We start from the raw sequence: 20,162 nt of genomic DNA, 5'->3' as shown, positions 1-20,162 counted from the left end.
TTTGGCTTGTTTGTTGCTTTGAATCTTGTGACCTTATTCTCCACTGAAAGAAGCTTGTTTTGATGTTAAATGTTAGATCACTTAAAAATGTCAGTGTGGTCTCCCTTAACTCTACTTTTGTGTCCCTTCCTTTGCATCACTGATGCTGCCATTGCCTCTTCCCCACTGATTGTGACAATTAAATTAGGAAATCTTTGCAATGGTCTGCAGTCTGTGGCATTTTACTAGTACTAGTAAGAAGGAAGGGTGCCTCCTCCATACAGTGAATTATTTCAGGATATTCAGCTCTTATTAACAATTTACCTTCTTGCCCTTGAGATATGGTGGGAGTGAAAAAAACTACAGATACTGGAGTGGATTCAGAGATAAGATAGCCACATGACATTATCCAGGGGAAGAACATTTATGTGCTGGTGCAGGCATTTGATAGGATATGTAACCTTGTATTATCCACCACAGATAATACTACTGTATATGGGTCTCCTCCTCCTAAAGGCCATCCCTTCTCCATCCCCTTCCCCGTCCTCTTCCTCTTCACCTGAATGTTAAGATGTCCATCTGCTTTCAAAACACCTAGCTGTCCAGCACGTCCTATACTCTCCTGTTATTGCTGGTTTTCTTTGTCTTTTCCCTTAGGGTGTGAATACGGACTAATTGGAACTCTCTTTCAGATAGCATTACAACTCTGCCAGATCTAACTCCACTTTTCATCAGCATTGACCCAGAGAGGGACACAAAAGAAGCCATCGCAAATTATGTGAAAGGTATTTTTTTAAATAATACTTTACATTTATTTAGCCTTAAAGTTTTTGGAATATCAGTTCATTTGAACCTTACAGTGCCTTGTGAAATAGGACAAATGGTATTATCACCAGTTTTATGGGTGAATAAAAAGGTGAAGCTAGGAATTGTTATGGATAGTTAGTGCGTAAGTAAGAAATGGGTTTCTCAATTCCTGATGCAGTGCTCTTTATATTTTGTCACAGAGAAAGGATTTGAACTTGGCCTTCATGTATCAACTAAGTTAATCGAGCCTTGAATTGAGAGTAAGGACACATTGCTTCTAACTCCAGCGCTGTAACTCATTCTCTGCATTGTAAAATCAGAACAAACATATATTCTGGAAGTATGTTCATTGGTAGATTAAAGATGAATAATTAAATACAAACATATTTTGAACTCAGTGCATGTTTTATAAATTTAAAACATTTACTGTAACAGGCCGGGCATGGTGGGCCTGTAATCCCAGCACTTTGGGAGACCAAAGTGGGTGGATCACCTGAGGTCAGGAGTTTGAGACCAGCCTGGCCAACATGGTGAAGCCCCGTCTCTACTAAAAATACAAAAATTAGCCAGGCACGGTGGTGCACACCTATAATCCCAGATATTCGGGAGGCTGAGGCAGGAGAATTCGCGTGAACCTGGCAGGCGGAGGTAGCAGTGAGCTGACATCACGCCACTGATCTTCAGCCTGGGCAACAGAGCTAGACTCTGTCTTAAAGATAAATAAAACATTTACTATGACAAAGTAACTGTTGTTTAATTGACACATAACAGTTGTACATATTTATGGGGTACAGAGTCCCTATCCTCCCCAACCCTTTCCAGCCTCTAGTATCCACAATTCTTCTCTCTACTTCTGTGAGATCAACTTTTTTAGTTTCCACGTATGAATATGCAGTATTTATCTTTCTGTGCCTGACTTTTTTCATTTAACATATTAATAGTATCCTCCAGGCTCATCTCCATTGCCACAAATGACAGGATTTCATTCTTTAATATGGCTGGGTAGTATTCCATGACGTATGTATACTGCATTTTCTTTATCCATTCACCTGTTGATGAGTACTGTTGGATTTCATATCTTGGCTATTGTGATTAGTGCTGTGGTAAACATAGGAATGCAGACGCCTCTTCAATATACTGTTTTCATCTCCTTTGGATATATACCCAGTAGTGAGATTCCTGGATTGTATTGCAGTTCTGTTTTTACTTTTCTGAGGAACCTCCATACTGCTATCCACAATGGTTATACTAATTTACATTTCCATCAATGGTGTGTGTGAGGTATCTTTGTTCTGAATCATTGTCAGCATTTGTTATTTTTTTGTATTTTTGGTGATAGTCATTCAAATTGGGATGAGATACCTAATTGTGGTTTTGATTTGCATTTCCCTTGTGATTGGTGATGTTGAGCATTTTTTCATATACTTGTTGGCCATCTGTATGCCTTCTATTGAGAAATGTCTATTTAGATCATTTGCCCTTTTTAAAAATGTTATTTGTCTTTTTGGTGTTGAGATGATTGAGTACATTCTGGATATTAACTCCCTAGTCTGATGAATAGTTTGCACATATTTTCTCCCATTCTCCAGGTTGTCTCTTCATTCTGTTTATTGTTTCCTGTGCTGTGCAGAAGCTTTTTATTTTGATATAACCCCATTTGCCTATTTTTGCTTTTGTTGCCTGTGCTCTTGAGGCCTTATCTATCAAATTTTTTCCCAGACTAATGTCCTGAAGTGTTTCCCCTATGTTTTCTTCTACTAATTTTATAGTTGCAGATCTTCCATTTGTCTTTCCTACATTTATATTTGATTTTTGTATATGATAAAAATAGGGATCTAGTTTCATTCTACTATGTAGGGATATCCCGTTTTCCTAGTGCCGTTTCTTGAGGAGACTGTCCTTTCCCCAGCGTATGTTTTTGGTGTCTTTGTCAGAAATCAGTTGGCTTAATTTCTCGGTCCTCTATTCTGTTCCATTGGTCTGTGTGTCTGTTTTTATGCCAGTACCATGCTGTTGTGGTTACTATGGCTTTGTACTATGTTTTGAAGTCAGGTAGTGTGATCCTACCAGCTTTGTTCTTTTTGCTTAAGATTGCCTTGGCTATTAGGGGTCTGTTGTGGTTTCATAGGAATTTTAGGATTGTTTTTTCTGCTTCTAAGGAAGGTATTACTTTCAATGGAGGAATTTCAATCAAACACCTCTGTATGCTAGTTAAAAGCTGTTAGGCACTTTTAAAGACTACAGATTATAGTAGAATTGAGAGTGGATGCTTAGGTTCTAATTCATCTGTGAAAATGGGCAAGTTTAATTTCTCTAGACTCAAGTTTCTTCAGCATATGTGCTTAAAAATCAGGAATCTGAATTTTAATTATGGTAACATTGATTTAATAACTGGTTAAAAGCACTAAAGAATAGTTTTATATTTATATTATATGACACATTCAAATACATATCTTCTAAACTTTGAGGTTATTTAAAAATATGTTTTATGAAGGATCTGCTGTATGTGTAATTACTTTTAACACATTTATTAAGGTATAATTGACATGCAATAAAGTATAGATATTTGAAGTATATAATTTGTTGCCTTTTGTAACTGAAACCATCCCACAGTCAAGAAAATGAACATACCTGTTACCCTGAAAAGTTTTCCTTTGCCTTTGTTAGTCCCTCCCTTTTTCCCTCCCCAATCTCCCATCTGCAGAACTGCTTTCTTTTTTTTTTTTTTTTTTTTGAGACGGAGTCTCGCTCTGTCGCCCAGGCTGGAGTGCAGTGGCGGGATCTCGGCTCACTGCAAGCTCCGCCTCCCGGGTTCACGCCATTCTCCTGCCTCAGCCTCCCAAGTAGCTGGGACTACAGGCGCCCGCTACCACGCCCGGCTAATTTTTTGTATTTTTAGTAGAGACGGGGTTTCACCGTTTTAGCCGGGATGGTCTCGATCTCCTGACCTCGTGATCCGCCCGCCTCGGCCTCCCAAAGTGCTGGGATTACAGGCGTGAGCCACCGCGCCCGGCCTGCAGAACTGCTTTCTATTGATAAAGATTAGTCTGCACTTTCTGTGTATCATAGTTCATTCCTTTTTGTTGCTGACTAATAGTTCACCTATAGACATTTGAGTTTTTTGCATTTATTGGCTGTTACAGATAAAGCTGCTAAGAACATTTATGTACATGTTTTTGTGTGGACACATGCTTTCATTTCTTTTGAGTAAATAGGATAGGAATGGTTAGATCATATAGTAGGTGTATTTTAACTTTCTAAGACACTGAGAACCTGTTTTCCAAAATGGTATATTTCTGCATTCCTGCCAGCAGTATATGAGAGTCCCAGCTCCTCCACAGCATCACCACTCTTGGTGTGGCCAGTCTTTTTAATTTTAGCCACTCTAGTAGGTGCTTAGTGATATCTCATTGTGGTTTTGGCATACATTTTCTTAATGACTGTTAATGTTAAGCTTCTTTTTATGCTCTTATTTGCCATCTGTATTACCTTTAGTGAAGTGTCTGTTCATATCTTTTGACCGCTTTTTATGGAGTTCTTTGTTTTCACATTATGTGTATATGTATTATTTATATTCTGGATACAAGTTAGGTGTGTGATTTGCAAATATTTTCTGCCAGTCTGTGGCTCGTCATTTCAGTCTCTTAACAGTGCCTTTCAAACAGCAGTTTTCAGTTTTAATGAAGTCCAAATTTATCAGTTTGTCCTTTTAATATAGTGCTTTTGGTTTGGTATATAAGAAATCTTTGACTAACCTAAGGTTACGAAGGTTTATGTTTTCTTCTTGAAGTTTAGAGTTTTTACTACGTATACTTAAGCATAATTTATATCTACAGTTTATAGGTTTGTCAGAAATTTGGGCAATAGTATAGTCATTTCATGAAGCAATGAAAAACAGATATTTATGAACTCATTGAGTTATGCACAGTCTTCAATTTAAACATGTGTTATATTGGCAAAAATCACATATTACTAACCAAACCATAATATCCCCAAATGAGTAGACATTCGAGTTGCTGTACCTAACCAAAACACCAGACTTTATGGTAATTTTCAACAGAACATAGCGATTGATGATGTAGTCATTACTAGTTGCATTTTGGGGAGATTTTTAAAACTTTAATTTGGTATTTAGAAAAAAATGCAGTTTCAGCAATTTAGTTTTAAAAAAAGTTTGAATGTGCAGCTAACTCAGGCTTCATTCACCTTTCTCTTTATTTACTCAGAGTGGAAAAAGAAAGCCTGTCTTTTCAGAATCTGAACAATGTCTCATTTAGAATGATGAGTTCATCCAAGGAACAAAAATTGGCTTCTGTACCTTTAGAAAAAGGAACTGCTGTTAAATGTTGGGCTGTCATTTCAGTAGTTTGATGAATCCAGTTGTTTTAAGTGACCTCTACCGGTTCACTTACATGAATTCCAAAAACTTAATAGCAGATACACGCTGTGAATGATTTGCCCTTATTTCAGAACTTTGTTAAGATTGCGTTTTGGGGATGACTAGTATTAATTAACCAGTTTTTTTAAATCAGAAGTAAAGAGTAGAACTTGATACCAGTGTTGAAATTATTTGCAGGAAAATAAGACACAGGTATTTTGACCTGATATGAACTTAGTTATGAAGCAAATTTTTTTCCCCATATGATGCCATGAAAAGTTATAGTATTTAATTTATGATAATAATTTTAAGCTTTAGTATATCTGAGAACTACATGTGACTACTCCTTAAAAATCAATTTAAAATGTGATACAAGTGATTAGAAAATATTCCCTCCAGGTCTTTACTAGATAGTCATAAAAAGATTTGACTTATATATTACAAAGGAGAATTTTCATTTGTTCTTTGTGAATTTCTTCTCCTTTTCCTTTGAATCGTGAAGAAATGTTTGGAGACTCACAGGAAGAAAGTGGCAGTAGAGCTGCTTTACAACTGATACATTTTTTGAAGTAGAGATGGTTGTTTTACTGGCTTCTCATTTTTCACTGTCTCTCTCATTTTTTATTTAGAATTTTCTCCCAAACTGGTTGGCTTGACTGGCACGAGAGAAGAGGTCGATCAAGTGGCCAGAGCATACAGAGTGTATTACAGCCCTGGCCCCAAGGACGAAGATGAAGACTACATAGTGAGTAAATGTTCCAGTTTTAACCCATGGACCAGCTCCCAGATCCCAAATAGTCATAAGGCTTTCAATGACTGACTAGCTTCTGAGAAGAGAGAATACCTAAGATTATTGCAAAGTCCTTAGGAATTTTTTTTTTTTTTTTTTTGAGATGGAGTCTCATTCTGTCATCCAGGCTGGAGTGCAGTGGCACAATCTTCGCTCACTGCAACCTCCGCCTCCCAGATTCAAGCAATTCTCCTATGTCAGCCTCCCGAGTAGCTGGGATTACAGGTGCGCGCCACCACACCTGGCTACTTTTTTATATTTTTTGGTAGAGACGGGGTTTCACCACGTTGGCCAGGCTGGTCTCGAACTCCTGACCTTACCCGCCTCAGCCTCCCAAAGTACTGGGATTACAGACGTGAGCCACCGCATCCAGCCTCCTTAGGAATTTTGAATATTTGAAAGGATAATAGAAGCATGTTTTTTACTTTTTATTTATTTTCGAGACGGAGTCTCACTCCGTCAGCCAGGCTGGAGTGCAGTGGTGCGATCTTGGCTCACTTCGACCTCCGCCTCCCGGATTCAAGCAATTCTCCTCCCTCAGCCTCTCGCGTAGCTGGGATTACAGGCATGTGCTCCCACGCCTGGCTAGTTTTTGTATTTTTAGTAGAGAAGGAGTTTTGCCATGTTGGCCAGGCGAGGCCAGGGGGTCTCGAATTCCTGACCTCAGGTGGTCTGCCCTGCCCACCTCAGCCTCCCAAAGTGCTGGGATTACAGGCCTGAGCCACTGCGCCCAGCCAGAAGCAGTTTTTTAAAAGATGATTGTTTGATTTATATTCACTGTTCTCATAATTCAATTGCCTGTTTTTCTCTTATAGTGGCATATAGGATTTTAGGGCAGTTTAAAACCAGATACTTGGGTGCCATGTTGGAAATAAAGAGAAGCCATCATTTGGAACAACACTTATTTTAAAAAGATTGTGTTGGTTCTCACTGTGTCCCCAGTAGAGGTATCAGAAATTGCTCTTCTGGAGAACCAGTTTTAGGCCATGGAGAACTGCATTTTTAGGTTGAATGAGAATTCTGAAAAGCAAAAGATGAAAGGTTTATTTGCCCATTGACTATATGCCTTGGACAGTTAGGCGTTAAATATGTGCTTTTTAATGATAAGGAACAGAAATTCTGTTGTACTTGTGTAGCTCTTAAATTAACTATCTTCATATTCATCAGCACTGCCCCAGAAGCCTTAAGGTCATGCCCAAGTTACTGTGTTTCTTTTCTTGTCAGTGGTTTCACAGTGAAGCACCAAAAGGCATTAGCACCACCACTATCCACCAATTTTCCTCTCAATTTGGACATTTTTCTCCTATCATATGAAGAGTCGGCGTTGTATTTTAGCATTATTTCAGTATTTTTCTTAGTTGTCATACTCTGTTTTTTCTATAATATTGTTTGGGCAGAGTAATCCTAAGAGCCTTTCTAGCTGTGAAGCTGTCTTTGTAGAAAGAAAGATGGCCAAGACCCTGAGTCACTGATCCAGCAGCTCCCCATGGCCCATCCCAAGAGTTGAGATGCAGAGGGGATGGGATGTCTCACTGCAGTGCTTTGTCTCAACAGCCAACTATGATTTCTTTGTCCCTTTGAACCTGGAACGTGTGTGCCCCTGGAGCCTACAGCCTGAATTAAAAGCAAGGTTCTGGCCTGTTTGCCTTAATTAAGCCTACACAGTAATCCTGTCTTCCAGATGTGGTGCCTCGTAGAATTAGGGAAACTTGGATTCCTTGGAGTAAAAGATGAGAAAAATGAGCACTTTTCTTTAAGCCTTAATTGTAAGGAAAGTAGAGGGACCCTCCTCTGTTTTCCTCTTGCTGCTTCTCTAGCAGAATGAGAGAAGAGCAGAGAGCCACAGTGGCCAAAAGAGGAAACCATAGGAAAAGGACTTTCCGGACTTCTGTCTTTATAGAGAGTTGTATTAACTGGTTTTGAGTTTATCCGATGATGACAGCAGGAATAGATGAGCTCATCAGTCTGATTTCCAGCATTAAATGAGTTATATTAAATTGTTTAAATGTATACAGTCCTAAACTAGGTAACACTCCATAGTCTTGATGCTTAGAACTCATAACTCAGAGTCAGAAAGTCAAATCAGAAAGCAGTTGTACAAATAAACCCAAACAGCCTGCAAAACTTAAATTGAAAACATTCAGTTACATTGACAAGAGATTTTGCTGAAACCAAAGTGCTGCTCAGGGCAAGAAGGGAGGGGGTTTTGGTCAGACTGCTATCACATACCCAACTCTACTCAACTGCCCCTCTGCATTTTCTATTTAAAATACTTTGAAACCTTTAATCGTGTAGCCTGCCTTGCCTGGTTAGTGTTGATTTGGCAAGAATGTATCATATTCATGTCTGCCTGTAACAGCAGTGGGCAGCTAGGTGCCAGTGAGATCATGGAGCAAACACAAGCCTGGGCACTGAAATTTATACTCACAACACAGATAATCCAGAATATGGATATTAATGTTTTTAATTACAAATGAAAACAAAAATATGTAAGTCTTATGGAAACTTCTTGGACCTTGTAGAATGTATCTTTGGCCCCATTTTGAGAAATACTGGCCTACTGCCATAAGAATTTGACTTTTGATGAGATTCGATGAGGAATTCATGCTGTACATTTGCTAAATCATCCAATAGGGGGAGACATTCTTCAGCTTCTTAGGTTTTTCATTAGTATGACTTCAGTCCCTTGAGGTCACAGATTTTCATCCATAGGATGGTTTGGGAAACTTCTGTTATCATTTAAGGACCTGCAGGAAGTAAGGGGGTACCTTTAAGGTTAATGTTGAGATGTAATGGAATGAAGTTTTCTTAATCCCAAACGACAGCAACAACAGGCAAGCTTCTGGCTTTTGAGTGGACTCTTCAGAGTGATCGAACTGGGTATACCAAATATTTGGAATTCCATAGAAAGCTGGATCTGCACATTATTGTATTATATATATATAATACTATATTATTATATAGATATTAGTTAGAAAATACTTTTGAAAAAAGAATACAAATAGCTTTCAAACCTAAATGTGCAGTTTCATAATAAAAGAAATGTGAATTGTATAATGAGGTAACATTTTTCTCTTGGCTCAGCAGTGGTCAGAAAATCTGAAAATATATTGTCGAAATTGGAAAAGCAGGAAATAAACTGCAGGAGTGAATTTGGAACAGCAGGCACACTCATGCATTGTTGATAGGAATTAAACTCATACACCCTCTTCAGAGGGCAGTTTAACAGTATTTCTCACATTTAAAGTTATATACTTTTTATGCAAGAGATTCTACTTTTTGGACTTTATCCTATAAATATACCCTATGGCATTGTTTTTAAAGAGAAAAAACTGAAAATCCAGTAACCATTTTTTAACTACTGTGTATAATCTAACGTAGAACAATGTCCAATATATTGTTAAATGAGAAAGCAAGTACTGTAGAATATATTGTTACTTGTGTATAAAAAAAATAAGTGGTAGTGGATATATACACATAGTAGATGCAGAGAATTTCTTCGGAAGGATACAGAAGGAACTGATGGCATTGGTTCACTCTAAGGGGAACTGAGGCACTCTGGGTGTGAAGAGGGGGAGGGACATTTTCATTGTATACATTAACTGGATATTCGTTTTCTATGTGCATATATTACCTTTTCAAAAAATAATTCACACTAAAACGTAACTTGCACACTAGAAAAACTGAGTTGCTGCTCTCCATTAGAATTGGAGCTAGAGGCAACGTGGTGATAAAAGTTTGTGGACTTTGAAACTGGACAGATTCTAGGTTTTAAAGTTAGGCCTGGCACTTACCAATTATATAATTTACTCTCTCCAGCCTGTGATATCATTTGAAGAGGAGGAGAATACCTGTTTCATGGCTTAAGATGACATGTGAAAGAATTTGTCAGTTAATGCTAGTGTCCTTTTTCTATACAAGGAAGTACTAGAACTTGGAAGACCTCTGTAGACCTCTGTATTAGAATAAATGTCAATGTGCTCTGTCACAACCCAAAGGAATATTGAGGAGTGACCTCTGACAAGTTCGACAGATACAGATAAAATAATATTTTTGTTGTGTACTACAAGGTAATTTATATTAAGAACACTCAGAAAATAAGTCCCACATACTGTAGTTTGTTTTTTTTAACAGAGAATAGAGAAAAGGAAGAAATAGGGAGAAAGAGTGATGTAAGCTACAGAGTAAGGCTTGAAGAGAGAACTGGAGACTTAATTCTGATTTCTGTATCAAATATGTGGAGAAACGTAGCCCCCCGTCTTGCTCCTGCGGTGAACTATCCCACAGCACTTGGAATCCAGTTGTTGGCGCTCTTTTGGTGTACATTCTTTCCTTATGTGGGTAGGCAAGTGCTCTTTCCATTTGCTATCTTAAGAATGTGTGTATAAAAAATAATACCCTCACAGACATATAGTGCGTGCTGGGGTATGTTTGGGAGGTGTCTCCAGTTTGGTATTTGTAGTCACATTCCTGTCTTTCTTTGTCTTGCCAAATAGCAGTCAAGCCTGCAATAAATTCCAAGGACTCTAAGTGCCAAATCTCACTTAAAATTGGATTTTATGGAAGTGTCTAACTAAAAAATCTGATGACTAATCTAAGTTAAAGTTAGAGCTGGGACCATTTTAGGACTTTGCTGGGAAAATGGATGCTGAGTTTACGATGACTCTCTGGTTAGGGGGGCAGCATTTATGCTCCCGAGGATTTGCTTTCCAGGTGATGGATTGATTTCAGATAGGATTATTCAGTGGAGGAGACAAAAATTTCCTTGGGGAGAAAAATGTTTCTTTTCCTGTTTCTGTTTGAATTACTAATATTAAAACTAAATATTGTTCAAATTTATAGATTATTTAAACTAATGATTAGTTTTCTGATTTCTTCTCATAAAGCGTGGTAAGCAGAATTTTGGCAGTAATGAATGACAACCAGTTCTTTCTAAAACATGAATAAACCCAAGAACTTACTAAAGAAAGCAGTTTTTCACCAACACTTAATTCCATGTGATGTCTGTTTGTAACATGTTTAGGGTCTGAGGAGATATCTTACTCAAAAATGAAGGTATTTTTCAACAAGCATTGCTATTCCACAAACATTGACTGCTTTATGAAAGCCTGCAGCAGCTATTTCTTAGAAGGTGAATTCTTTTCTCAGAGTGTGTGGGTAAATATGTTAAGGATTAAACCAAAAGAATTTCAGGTTCTAGCTGATGTGACAAGCAATAACCAGTGCAGATGTTTAGGACACAAAAGATTTTAGACAATTTTTGTTAGGAATTTGCTATGATAGACTTAAGCCTATTCCATAAATAATAGATGCTGTAAAGGTTATTTAAGCATTAATGTAAAGTTCTCTTATCTTGCAGCATACATTCAGTAAAATAAGCAGCTTATTTTGGTAATCTTTGTCACACTCTCCCCCCTTTTCTCTGCAGGTGGATCACACAATAATAATGTACTTGATTGGACCAGATGGTGAGTTTCTAGATTATTTTGGCCAGAACAAGAGGAAGGGAGAAATAGCTGCTTCAATTGCCACACACATGAGGCCATACAGAAAAAAGAGCTAGCCAAAGCAGTGTTGCTGGATGCAGTATTCTCTTGCTAAGAGGAAGGAAACTGTCTCGCATAGGAGCCTATATAAATATAAACATATATACGTGCACTCTACAGAATGGCCTTCATACCATGAGAACATTTCTGTTTTGGATGGGGATGTTACCCTTGCGTTCAACCAAAATTGATTCTTGGAACTGTAAAGATTACAACCCAAAGTCTCCCAGGAAGCTGTGGGGAGACCAGAGGATCAAGCTGAAGTGAAGCCAGTGAAGAGCCCACCTGTGGAAGGACATGGCGGGGCGAGGCACAGCCAGTGCATTCCTGCCTGCGAACAGGCCCTCCCAGCAGCTTTGCCGCCTCTCCATCGTCTTGGGCCCTTGCTCAAATAGCTGTGGGACTGAATTTCACAGAAAAGAATATAATTTCCATAGTGCTCTTGCTTGCCTCTTCTTGAGTTCTTTGCTCTTCTGAGTTCTTGGTGGCTAATAACAGTCAGATTAGGGTCTCTGCCATTCAGAGTTGATGCTTGAAAACTTTAGTTTTCCTTATTAATGAATATCACTATCAGATTTGACTAATGAAGAGGAAATCTATTGTTTGGGGGAAAAAAAACATCAGTTTGATTTCTCTAGGGGTTCTTTTATGTGATTTTTAGCTAAGTGGTGTGCCAGGTTTTCAGTGACATACCAAATGGAAATAAGAGGATATTGATCACGAGTGTGATGCTGAGTACCTTTCTGCATATACTGGATTGTACTTTGTGTAAAGTAAACATACTCAGTTTTGCTGTTCAGACAAGCGTGATCTTTTTCATGGGTGATGAGTGGGTACATAGATGGCTGCACACAGTTCTCAGGAAAGAGACCCACAGGCTCCAGCGGGCAGGTGGGTGGGACGCTTGCTGAAGTGCAGTTCCCCAGACCCAGAGCTGAATTCACTGAATCTGCAGTATGATGCAGAGACCTGCTTCCATGACAGATACCCCAGGTGACTCGGATGCTGGCGGACTGGGACCATCCCTTAAGAAAGTGTTTTTTGGGGAAATAACTTGCCTGGCACAATGGCTAATGCCTATAATCCCAAAACTTTGGGAGGCCAGGGCCTGAGGATTGCTAGAGGTTAGGTATTCAAGACAAGCCTGGGCAACATAGTGAGACCCCCCCCCCCCGCCCCCATCTCTACAGAAGATTTTTTTGGCATGGTGGCACATGCCTGTAGTCCTGGCTACTCAGGAGACTGAAATGGAGTATCACTTGAGCCCAGGAATTCAAGGCTTCAGTGAGCTATAATCACACCACTGCATTCCAGCCTGGGCAACAGAGTGAGACCCTCTAGATATATCTATGTAGAGATACAGAAATTAAAATGAATTTAAAAATAAATAAATTTGACCCTTCTTTTGGTGTGTCAGCCATTGAAGAAAATGATTATTGAGTGATAGAATGAATCTTGGCTTTTGTTTCTAAATTTAACTGCCCTAGAATCCTGGGTTTGGCCTTTTTCTGCCAGAAGCTGCTGCCCTAGGGGCAAAGTTCTCCAAAAGTTTTTCAGTAAATCCTAAGATGCAACAAATATAATGCCTAGATAGACAACAGATTCTTTTTACATGATATGTTTCTACACGCACATGATAGAGGTCTTTTGGTTTTTAAATTCTCAATACTTAAACCTAAATATATCAAAGTAAAAGTATGTGAAAAAAAACTATGCTAGTTATAGGTTGAATAATGTCCCCCAAAATTTATACATTGAAGCCCTAATCTCAGTACTTCAGAATGTGACTGTAATTGGAGATAGGGTCTTTAGAGAGATAGTTAAATTAAAATGAGGCTGCTAGGTTGGCCCTAATTCTATATGACTGGTGTTCTTAAAATAATAGATTAGCTGGGCACAGTGGCTTATGCCTGTAATCCCAGCACTTTGGGAGGCCGAGGCGTGCAGATCACCTAAGGTCAGGAGTTCGAGACCAGCCTGGCCAACATGGTGAAACGTCGTCTCTCTCCTAAAAATACAAAAATTAGCCGGGCATGGTAGCGGGTGCCTGTAATCTCAGTTACTCCGGAGGCTGAGGCAGGAGAATCGCTTGAACCCAGGAGGCAGAGGTGGCAGTGAGGCAAGATTGCGCCATCGTACTCCAGCCTGGGCGACAGAGCAAGACTCCGTCTCAAAAAGAATAGGAGACACAGTGAGACGACCATGAGAAGCCAGAGAGAAAACAGCCATCTTACAAGCCAAGAGAGAAGTTGTGAGAAAAAAAAAAAAAAACAAACCCTGCTGACTCCTTGATTTTTGCCTTCCAAGCTCCAGAACTGTGAGGAAATAAATGTCTGTTGTTTTAGCCACCAAACCTGGTAAGGCAGTCCTAGCAAGCTAATACAATAGCCTGTTCCTTAATAAACAACTGCAAGATTTAGTTTATAGAAACCAGCTCGGAAGCAGTTGGTTTAGAATGACTTTCCTAGGAATCTGGTCAAGAAAGGAACTTACTAAAAGACTATTCTCATTTAACAAAAGAGATATTAAGTATCTCAAAGGCCAAATCTTTAAAAAGATTATCTGTTTTAAGCCACAAAACATTTGTGTGGATCCCTTTGCAGCAAGTTTGCTCTTAGATAAGATTCAGTCTTCGTTCTCAGCTGTTGCAGGTTAAGGCTTGTGAAATGATCCAAAAAGGGAACAGCAGCTTTTGGAGAAAACTTTTATTTGTTCTTCATTCTAGTGTCAAGTTTAAAGGCTTGAAGTCAGAATGTTAGAAGTGGGGAAGGGGACCTTAGAGGTGACGTCTTCCAGATGTTCCTGTTTATGCACAAGGGGACAGTCTCGGAGAATTAAGGCGCAAAACTCGGGTCCCAATTTCTAGGTAGGTTCCTGTTTGTTCTGCTGCTATCGTGCGCTTATGGTGACTGTGTGAATCCAACCAAAACGGAGGTTCCGTATGCCAGTGGGGCAACGTTTTTCAGCTGCAAATCTTGGGAAATCAAAAGCAAGGCTGTTTTTTTTTTCTTTTCTTTTTTGAGACAGAGTTTCACTCTTGTTGCCCAGGCTGGAGTGCAATGGCGCAATCTCAGCTCACTGCAACCTCCACCTCCCAGGTTCAAGCAATTCTCCTGCCTCAGCCTCCCAAGTAGCTGGGATTACAAGCATGTGCCACCACACCCGGCTAATTTTGTATTTTTAGTAGAGACTGGGTTTCTCTATGTTGGTCAGACTGGTCTCAAACTCCCGACCTCAGGTGATCCGCCGCCTCGGCCTCCCAAAGTGCTGGGATTACAGGTGTGAGCCACCACGCCCGGCCTCAAGGCTGTGTTTCAGTGAAATATCCCTTGCAAATCTTTACCTGGGTGGGTTACAGTGTTTTCACTAGACTCTTCAATAGAATTAATATTTTAAGAAATGCCACTTGTTTATTTGAAAAGTATAAGAATCCTATCAATGCAGTAGGCATGAATGTATTCATGTGTCTGGCTGTTCATGAAGCAGCTGATATCTTAAGTGTAAGAGGTGAGATTTACTGACTACCAGTAAAATATGCGAGTTGGGAGGCTAATGATTTTAAATTGTAAATGCGTCTGCATAAGATCCTTTAAAATAGCTTTTATTGTTCTTAAATTTATGTTTAAAAGAAATTGACATTAATATTTTCAAATCATCCATAATCTCCCAAACCTTTTTTGGTTTTCTGTTTAGTACCATTTAAATCTTTGTGTATGTGTATATGAGCTACCTTTAAAAGAGCAGTCACCCATGCGAGCATTTGTTACCCAATTAGTTTGTACTTTTTTTTGGTTTTTATTTTGTTGTTGTTATTTGTTTCTTTTTGAGATGGAGTCTCGCTCTTCTCACGCAGGCTGGAATGCAATAATGGCATAATCTTGGCTCACTGCAACCTCCGCCTCCCAGGTTCAAGCGATTCTCCAGCCTGAGTCTCCCGAGTAGCTGGGATTACAGGCGCCCACCAGCACACCCAGCTAAATTTTTGTATTTTTAGTAGAGACGGGTTTCTCCATGTTGGTCAGGCTGGTCTCGAACTCTCAACCTCAGGTGATCCGCCCGCCTTGGCCTCCCAAAGTGCTGGGATTACACGCGTGAGCCACTGCGCCCGGCCTAGTTTGTGCTTTTTACTTACCAGTTAGGGGTTATATTACTGTGTAACAAAATGGACGGTTATTTCTATTCATTAACAAGATTCAAGTAATAGCCTCTTTAGCCACATATTCCTTAATAACACCTTTAGACCTTATAGGGGTAATTATTTTCTATATACTTTTCCAATGTATTTGAAAGTTTGTTGGCTCTTCTTCCGTAATTATACTATATCCTCAGTAAAGAAAGTTTGGCATACAGAAAAGTTGAAGGAAGAAAATTTTCAATCACTGTTGTTCCACTACCAAGAAATAATACTTGGAGGTATTTCCTTTCAATCTTCAACATGAGGATGCTAATGTCCCCCTCATAAGGGGCCTTAAAGTCACTGACTCTGTGCACTATTTCATGAGAACATTGATGTGGGTATTTAACCGAAAGAAAACTTGAGTTTTCTTTTTTTCCTTTTTATTGTGAAAATTTGGAAACTTATTCAAAAAGTAGAATAGTTAACTAATTGATGTACCCATCAGCAAGCTTCAGTGATTACCACCATTTAATTTTGTCTGCACCCCCCCACCCACTGCCACCCCAGCCCATTCCCAGCATGTGCCTCTGAAAGAGACCAACTTTGTCCTTTAAAAACAACCACAGTTGGCTGGGCACGGTGGCTCATGCCTGTAATCCCAGTACTTTGGGAAGCAAAGGCGGGTGGATCACCTGAGGTTGAGAGTTCGAGACTGGCCTGACCAACATGGAGAAACCCGTCTCTACTAAAAATACCAAAGTTAGCCGGGCGTGGTGGCGGGTGCCTGTAATCCCAGCTACTCGGGAGGCTGAGGTAGGAGAATCGTGTGAATCTGGGAGGCGGAGGTTGCAGTGAGCCGAGATCACGCCACTGCACTCCAGCCTGGGCAACAAGAGTTGTCTCAAAAAACAAAAAAGAAAGAAAGAAAAAAACAACCACAGTTTCATCAGCACAGCAAAAAGGTTTTTGTTTTTGCTCTTGGATTTTGTCGTTTGGTTTTTGCTTAATATCAAATATCCAGTCAGTGTAAACTCGTTTATAATTTGGTCCTTTGATTTCAAGGAGCTATGATGCAGTTCGTTGTGGGGATGTGTTGTCTCCATGTCATACATGTGACTTTGTCCATGTTTGCACCCAGTTCAAGGAAGACACAACCCTAGGGAAAGACAACCCTCCCCGCCAAGCCTCTCTTCCCATTCTTAAACATAGGGTGGCGTTATTCAGGTTGGACCAGTTTAAAAAGACTAACGCATTTGTCCTCGTTGTTGGGTGTTTTTTTTCTTTAAATTTGTAAAACAGGAATAATTGTGTTAGGATGAAGTATGATACTAGGAGAACAGGGAAAACTAACCCATCGTGTTAAAAGTCAGAATAGTGCTTAACTCTGGCAGGAGGTGAGATGGTTAGTAATTCAGAAGGGGGTGCCAGGAGAGCTTCCAGAGCCATTGAAATGTTCAGTAGCTTGATCTGGGTGATGATTTACATACATAAAAACATATTAAACTTTGAACTTAAGATTTATGCCTTTTACTGTTTGCACCCTATAACTCCAAAAGAAAAGTAGAGGGGAAAAAGAGTCCCTGCAAAAGGCAGTCTTGAAAGAAAGCAAGTCTGTGATGTGGAGAATGCATTGGACAGCTCTCAGCAATTTGCTGTAGCTTGGGCAGAGAGATAAAAGCTAATGCCAGCATCAGGTTGCCCAGGCGAGAGAAGGCCTGAAAGAAGACAGCGTGGAGAAAGTGTCAGCAAGCTTCAGCAACAGCAGGAGGCAGATGGTAGGAGAGTGGGCCTCAGGTGTGGTGTGGCAGAGCAGAGTAGCCACACTTAGGCCCCAGAGACAGTGTCTTCTCACCCTCAGTTGAAGGGGCAGGAAATCAATCGCTCTAGTCACCCCTAAGCTGGAGGACGGACCTAAAGTTGCCACAGCTTTGAGAGGCAAAGAAGTTTGCTCAGTGGCTTTTAGAGACTTCTAGGGCCCTGGGACCCTGACACTGAGGAGGAGCAAACTGAAGGGGAGAGTGGGCACATTCCTTGTTGGCTGCTGTGGTGAGCAGCAGCTGGTCGTTGTCAGTCAAGCTCCGGACCACTCTGATGATGCTCACTGCATTTTGATGGAGTAAGCCAGGGACATTACCACTGTGTTTGAGCCATCTGAAGTATTCCTGGGTGGGTCTGCAGTTGGCAGCCCGTGATCCTTTTTCCATTCAAGGATGATGCAAAGGTAAGGGGCCAAGGCTGAGCTCTGTAGATGCCTGTGAGAGCCTCCTGGTCTCAAGAGGTCATACCAAGGGCCTTGGCCACCAAGGTTTCGTGAGGACCTTGAGGTGGTTTCGCCATCACAATGTCAGACGTGTCACACACCATCTGGTATGTCCTCACTGTATAGAGGAAGAAGGGCCCAAGTGGTGAATTATCTACAAGTTTGTAGCAAAGCTAATACTCAGACTCCCTCTACAGCCTTGCTACTCAGTGTAGTCTGTGGTCCGGCAGTGTCACACCACTGGGGTACTTAGCAGAAATGCAGCTTCTCAGGCTCCACTCCAGCTCTCCTCAATCACAGTCTGTTTTTTTGTTTGTTTGTTTGTTTGTTTTGAGATGGAGTTTCGCTCTTGTTGCCTAGGCTGGAGAGCAGTGGTGCGATCTTGGCTCACTGCAACCTCCACCTCCCTGGTTCAAGTGATTCTGCTGCCTCAGCCTCCCAAGTAGCTGGGATTACAGGCGCCCGCCACCATGCCCGGTGGCGTGCATGGTAATTTTTGTATTTTTAGTAGAAACAGGATCTCGCCATGTTGGCCAGGCTGGTCTTGAACTCCTGACCTCAGGTGATCCACCCGCCTTGGCCTCCCAAAGTACTGGGGATTACAGATGTGAGCCACCACGCCTGGCCCACAGTCTGTATTTTAACAAGATCCCCACCTCAGTCTTAGGCACATGGATTCTCCTCAACCCCCAATACCACAGAGTCTATTAATTTTTACCCAATAGGGAAGGGGAAAAAGTCAAGAAAGAATAATGAATTAAGTAATCTTTCCCCCTCCAGGAAGCTCTTTATTTAATTTCGCTCCCATGAAACACAATTTGAAGAGTCTCTCAAATAAACAAATTCCATTTTCTGATAATTATTTAATTGCCCCACTTTTGAAATTTTTGTCAAAGACGACTGTCACTCCCTGTCAGAACTTCTATTCAGCACAGTATACCAAGCGTTTCTCCATCGAGTTGTTATAATATGATCAAAAAGCAGGGAGAGATGCTGCTTGGTTACCCTGTGGGGCCTTATCGGGGCTCAGTGCAGTCTTTCCATGTAGGCATTCTCAAATACTCAATTGAAACCTGATTGAGGATCATTTGATCTCTGTTGGCCCTAGTGCAGTAGGCTGCTGAGAACCACTGATGCAATAGACTGAGAGACTAACTGCCTGCTTCCCTGTCAGCCCAGGCTCTGCTAAGGCCGTCTTAGTTACAGAAGAAAGTGGGGCAGAGAGCCCTGCAAGGATTACATTCCATTCCTAACGGAGACAGGCAAGCGTTCAGTGCCCGAAGCAGGGCAGGCCTTTGTATGGCTCACTTTTCCCTGTACCAGCCTCAGCCCCGTACATTCAGAAAGCCCTGTCGGGAACGTGCGGGATCACAGCACAAGACAGTCATTCACTGATTGATTGACGACGTCAACATTGCGGAATACCTATGTTAAGCTGAGTACGAGGGATATAAAAAGTAGGCCCTGGAGAGTGCCTCTGGGATGCACATAACCAGACAAGATAAAGAAAAGGCAGATCACGAGATCAAGAGATCGAGATCATCCTGGCCAACATGGTGAAACCCCATCTCTACTAAAATTACAAAAATCAGCTAGACGTGGTGGCGGGCGCCTGTAGTCCCAGCTACTCAGGAGGCTGAGGCAGGAGAATCGCTTGAACCCGGGAGGCAGAGATTGCACTGAGCTGAGGTCATGCCACTGCACTCCAGCCTGGCAACAGGGCAAGACTCCATCTCAAAAAAAAAAAAAAAGAAAAAAAAGAAAAATTAGGGCAGCTTTTAGACATGAGGCCCCAAAGTGCCAACTAGTGCACCTAAACTTCAACTCTCTTTTGAGTGTTTTATGTATCTACTCAGCATCCAGTTGTAAATATGCAAAAATCAATGCCTACTGTATTTAAAAATTACTAAATTCACAATAACCACACAGAATCTATAATAAATAGAATCAATGTAATAATGACTCAGATCCAGGGGAAGAAAATTATAAAATTTTGGAAAAAATGATGAGCTATTAATTAAGAAAATAGTTTGTTCCTTGGTGAGAAGACTCAATGTAAATATGTCAGTTTTCTCCTGACTTAAGTCTTCAACACAGGCCTAATAATATTGCAGTGGCAAATGATTGCCAGGGGCAGGAGGGGATTTGGGGAAGTGGTAAAAATGATCTGTGTCTTGGTAGTGGTCGCTGCACAACTGCATACATCTGTGAAAACTCACTGAACTGCGCACTTTAAAAGGGTGAATTGTAATATACATACCTCAATAAACCTTACTTAAAAATTA

General features: G+C 40.5%; 2 protein-coding genes across 3 annotated transcripts in view; both read left to right on the top strand.

Moving 5' to 3' along the window:
• Positions 1 to 20,162, top strand: part of SCO1 (synthesis of cytochrome C oxidase 1) — a 25,060-nt gene extending 4,898 nt beyond the window's left edge. Inside the window, exons 4-6 of the mRNA NM_004589.4 lie at positions 672 to 764; positions 5,794 to 5,909; positions 11,383 to 20,162. Of these exons, the coding sequence (NP_004580.1) occupies positions 672 to 764; positions 5,794 to 5,909; positions 11,383 to 11,517 (344 nt within the window). The 3' untranslated portion in view covers positions 11,518 to 20,162. The remainder of the gene's footprint in view (positions 1 to 671; positions 765 to 5,793; positions 5,910 to 11,382) is intronic.
• MYH3 (myosin heavy chain 3) overlaps positions 14,219 to 20,162 on the top strand; it is a 49,886-nt gene continuing 43,942 nt past the window's right edge. For both annotated transcript variants that reach the window (XM_011523870.4, XM_047436127.1), the window contains exon 1: positions 14,219 to 14,366. The gene's annotated coding sequence lies outside the window, so the exon portion shown is untranslated. The remainder of the gene's footprint in view (positions 14,367 to 20,162) is intronic.

This window comes from Homo sapiens, chromosome 17 (assembly GCF_000001405.40).
Source record: "Homo sapiens chromosome 17, GRCh38.p14 Primary Assembly".
Classification (NCBI taxonomy): domain Eukaryota; kingdom Metazoa; phylum Chordata; class Mammalia; order Primates; family Hominidae; genus Homo; species Homo sapiens.
Note: the sequence above shows the minus strand (reverse complement) of the source record. Positions and strands in the feature narration are given on the sequence as shown.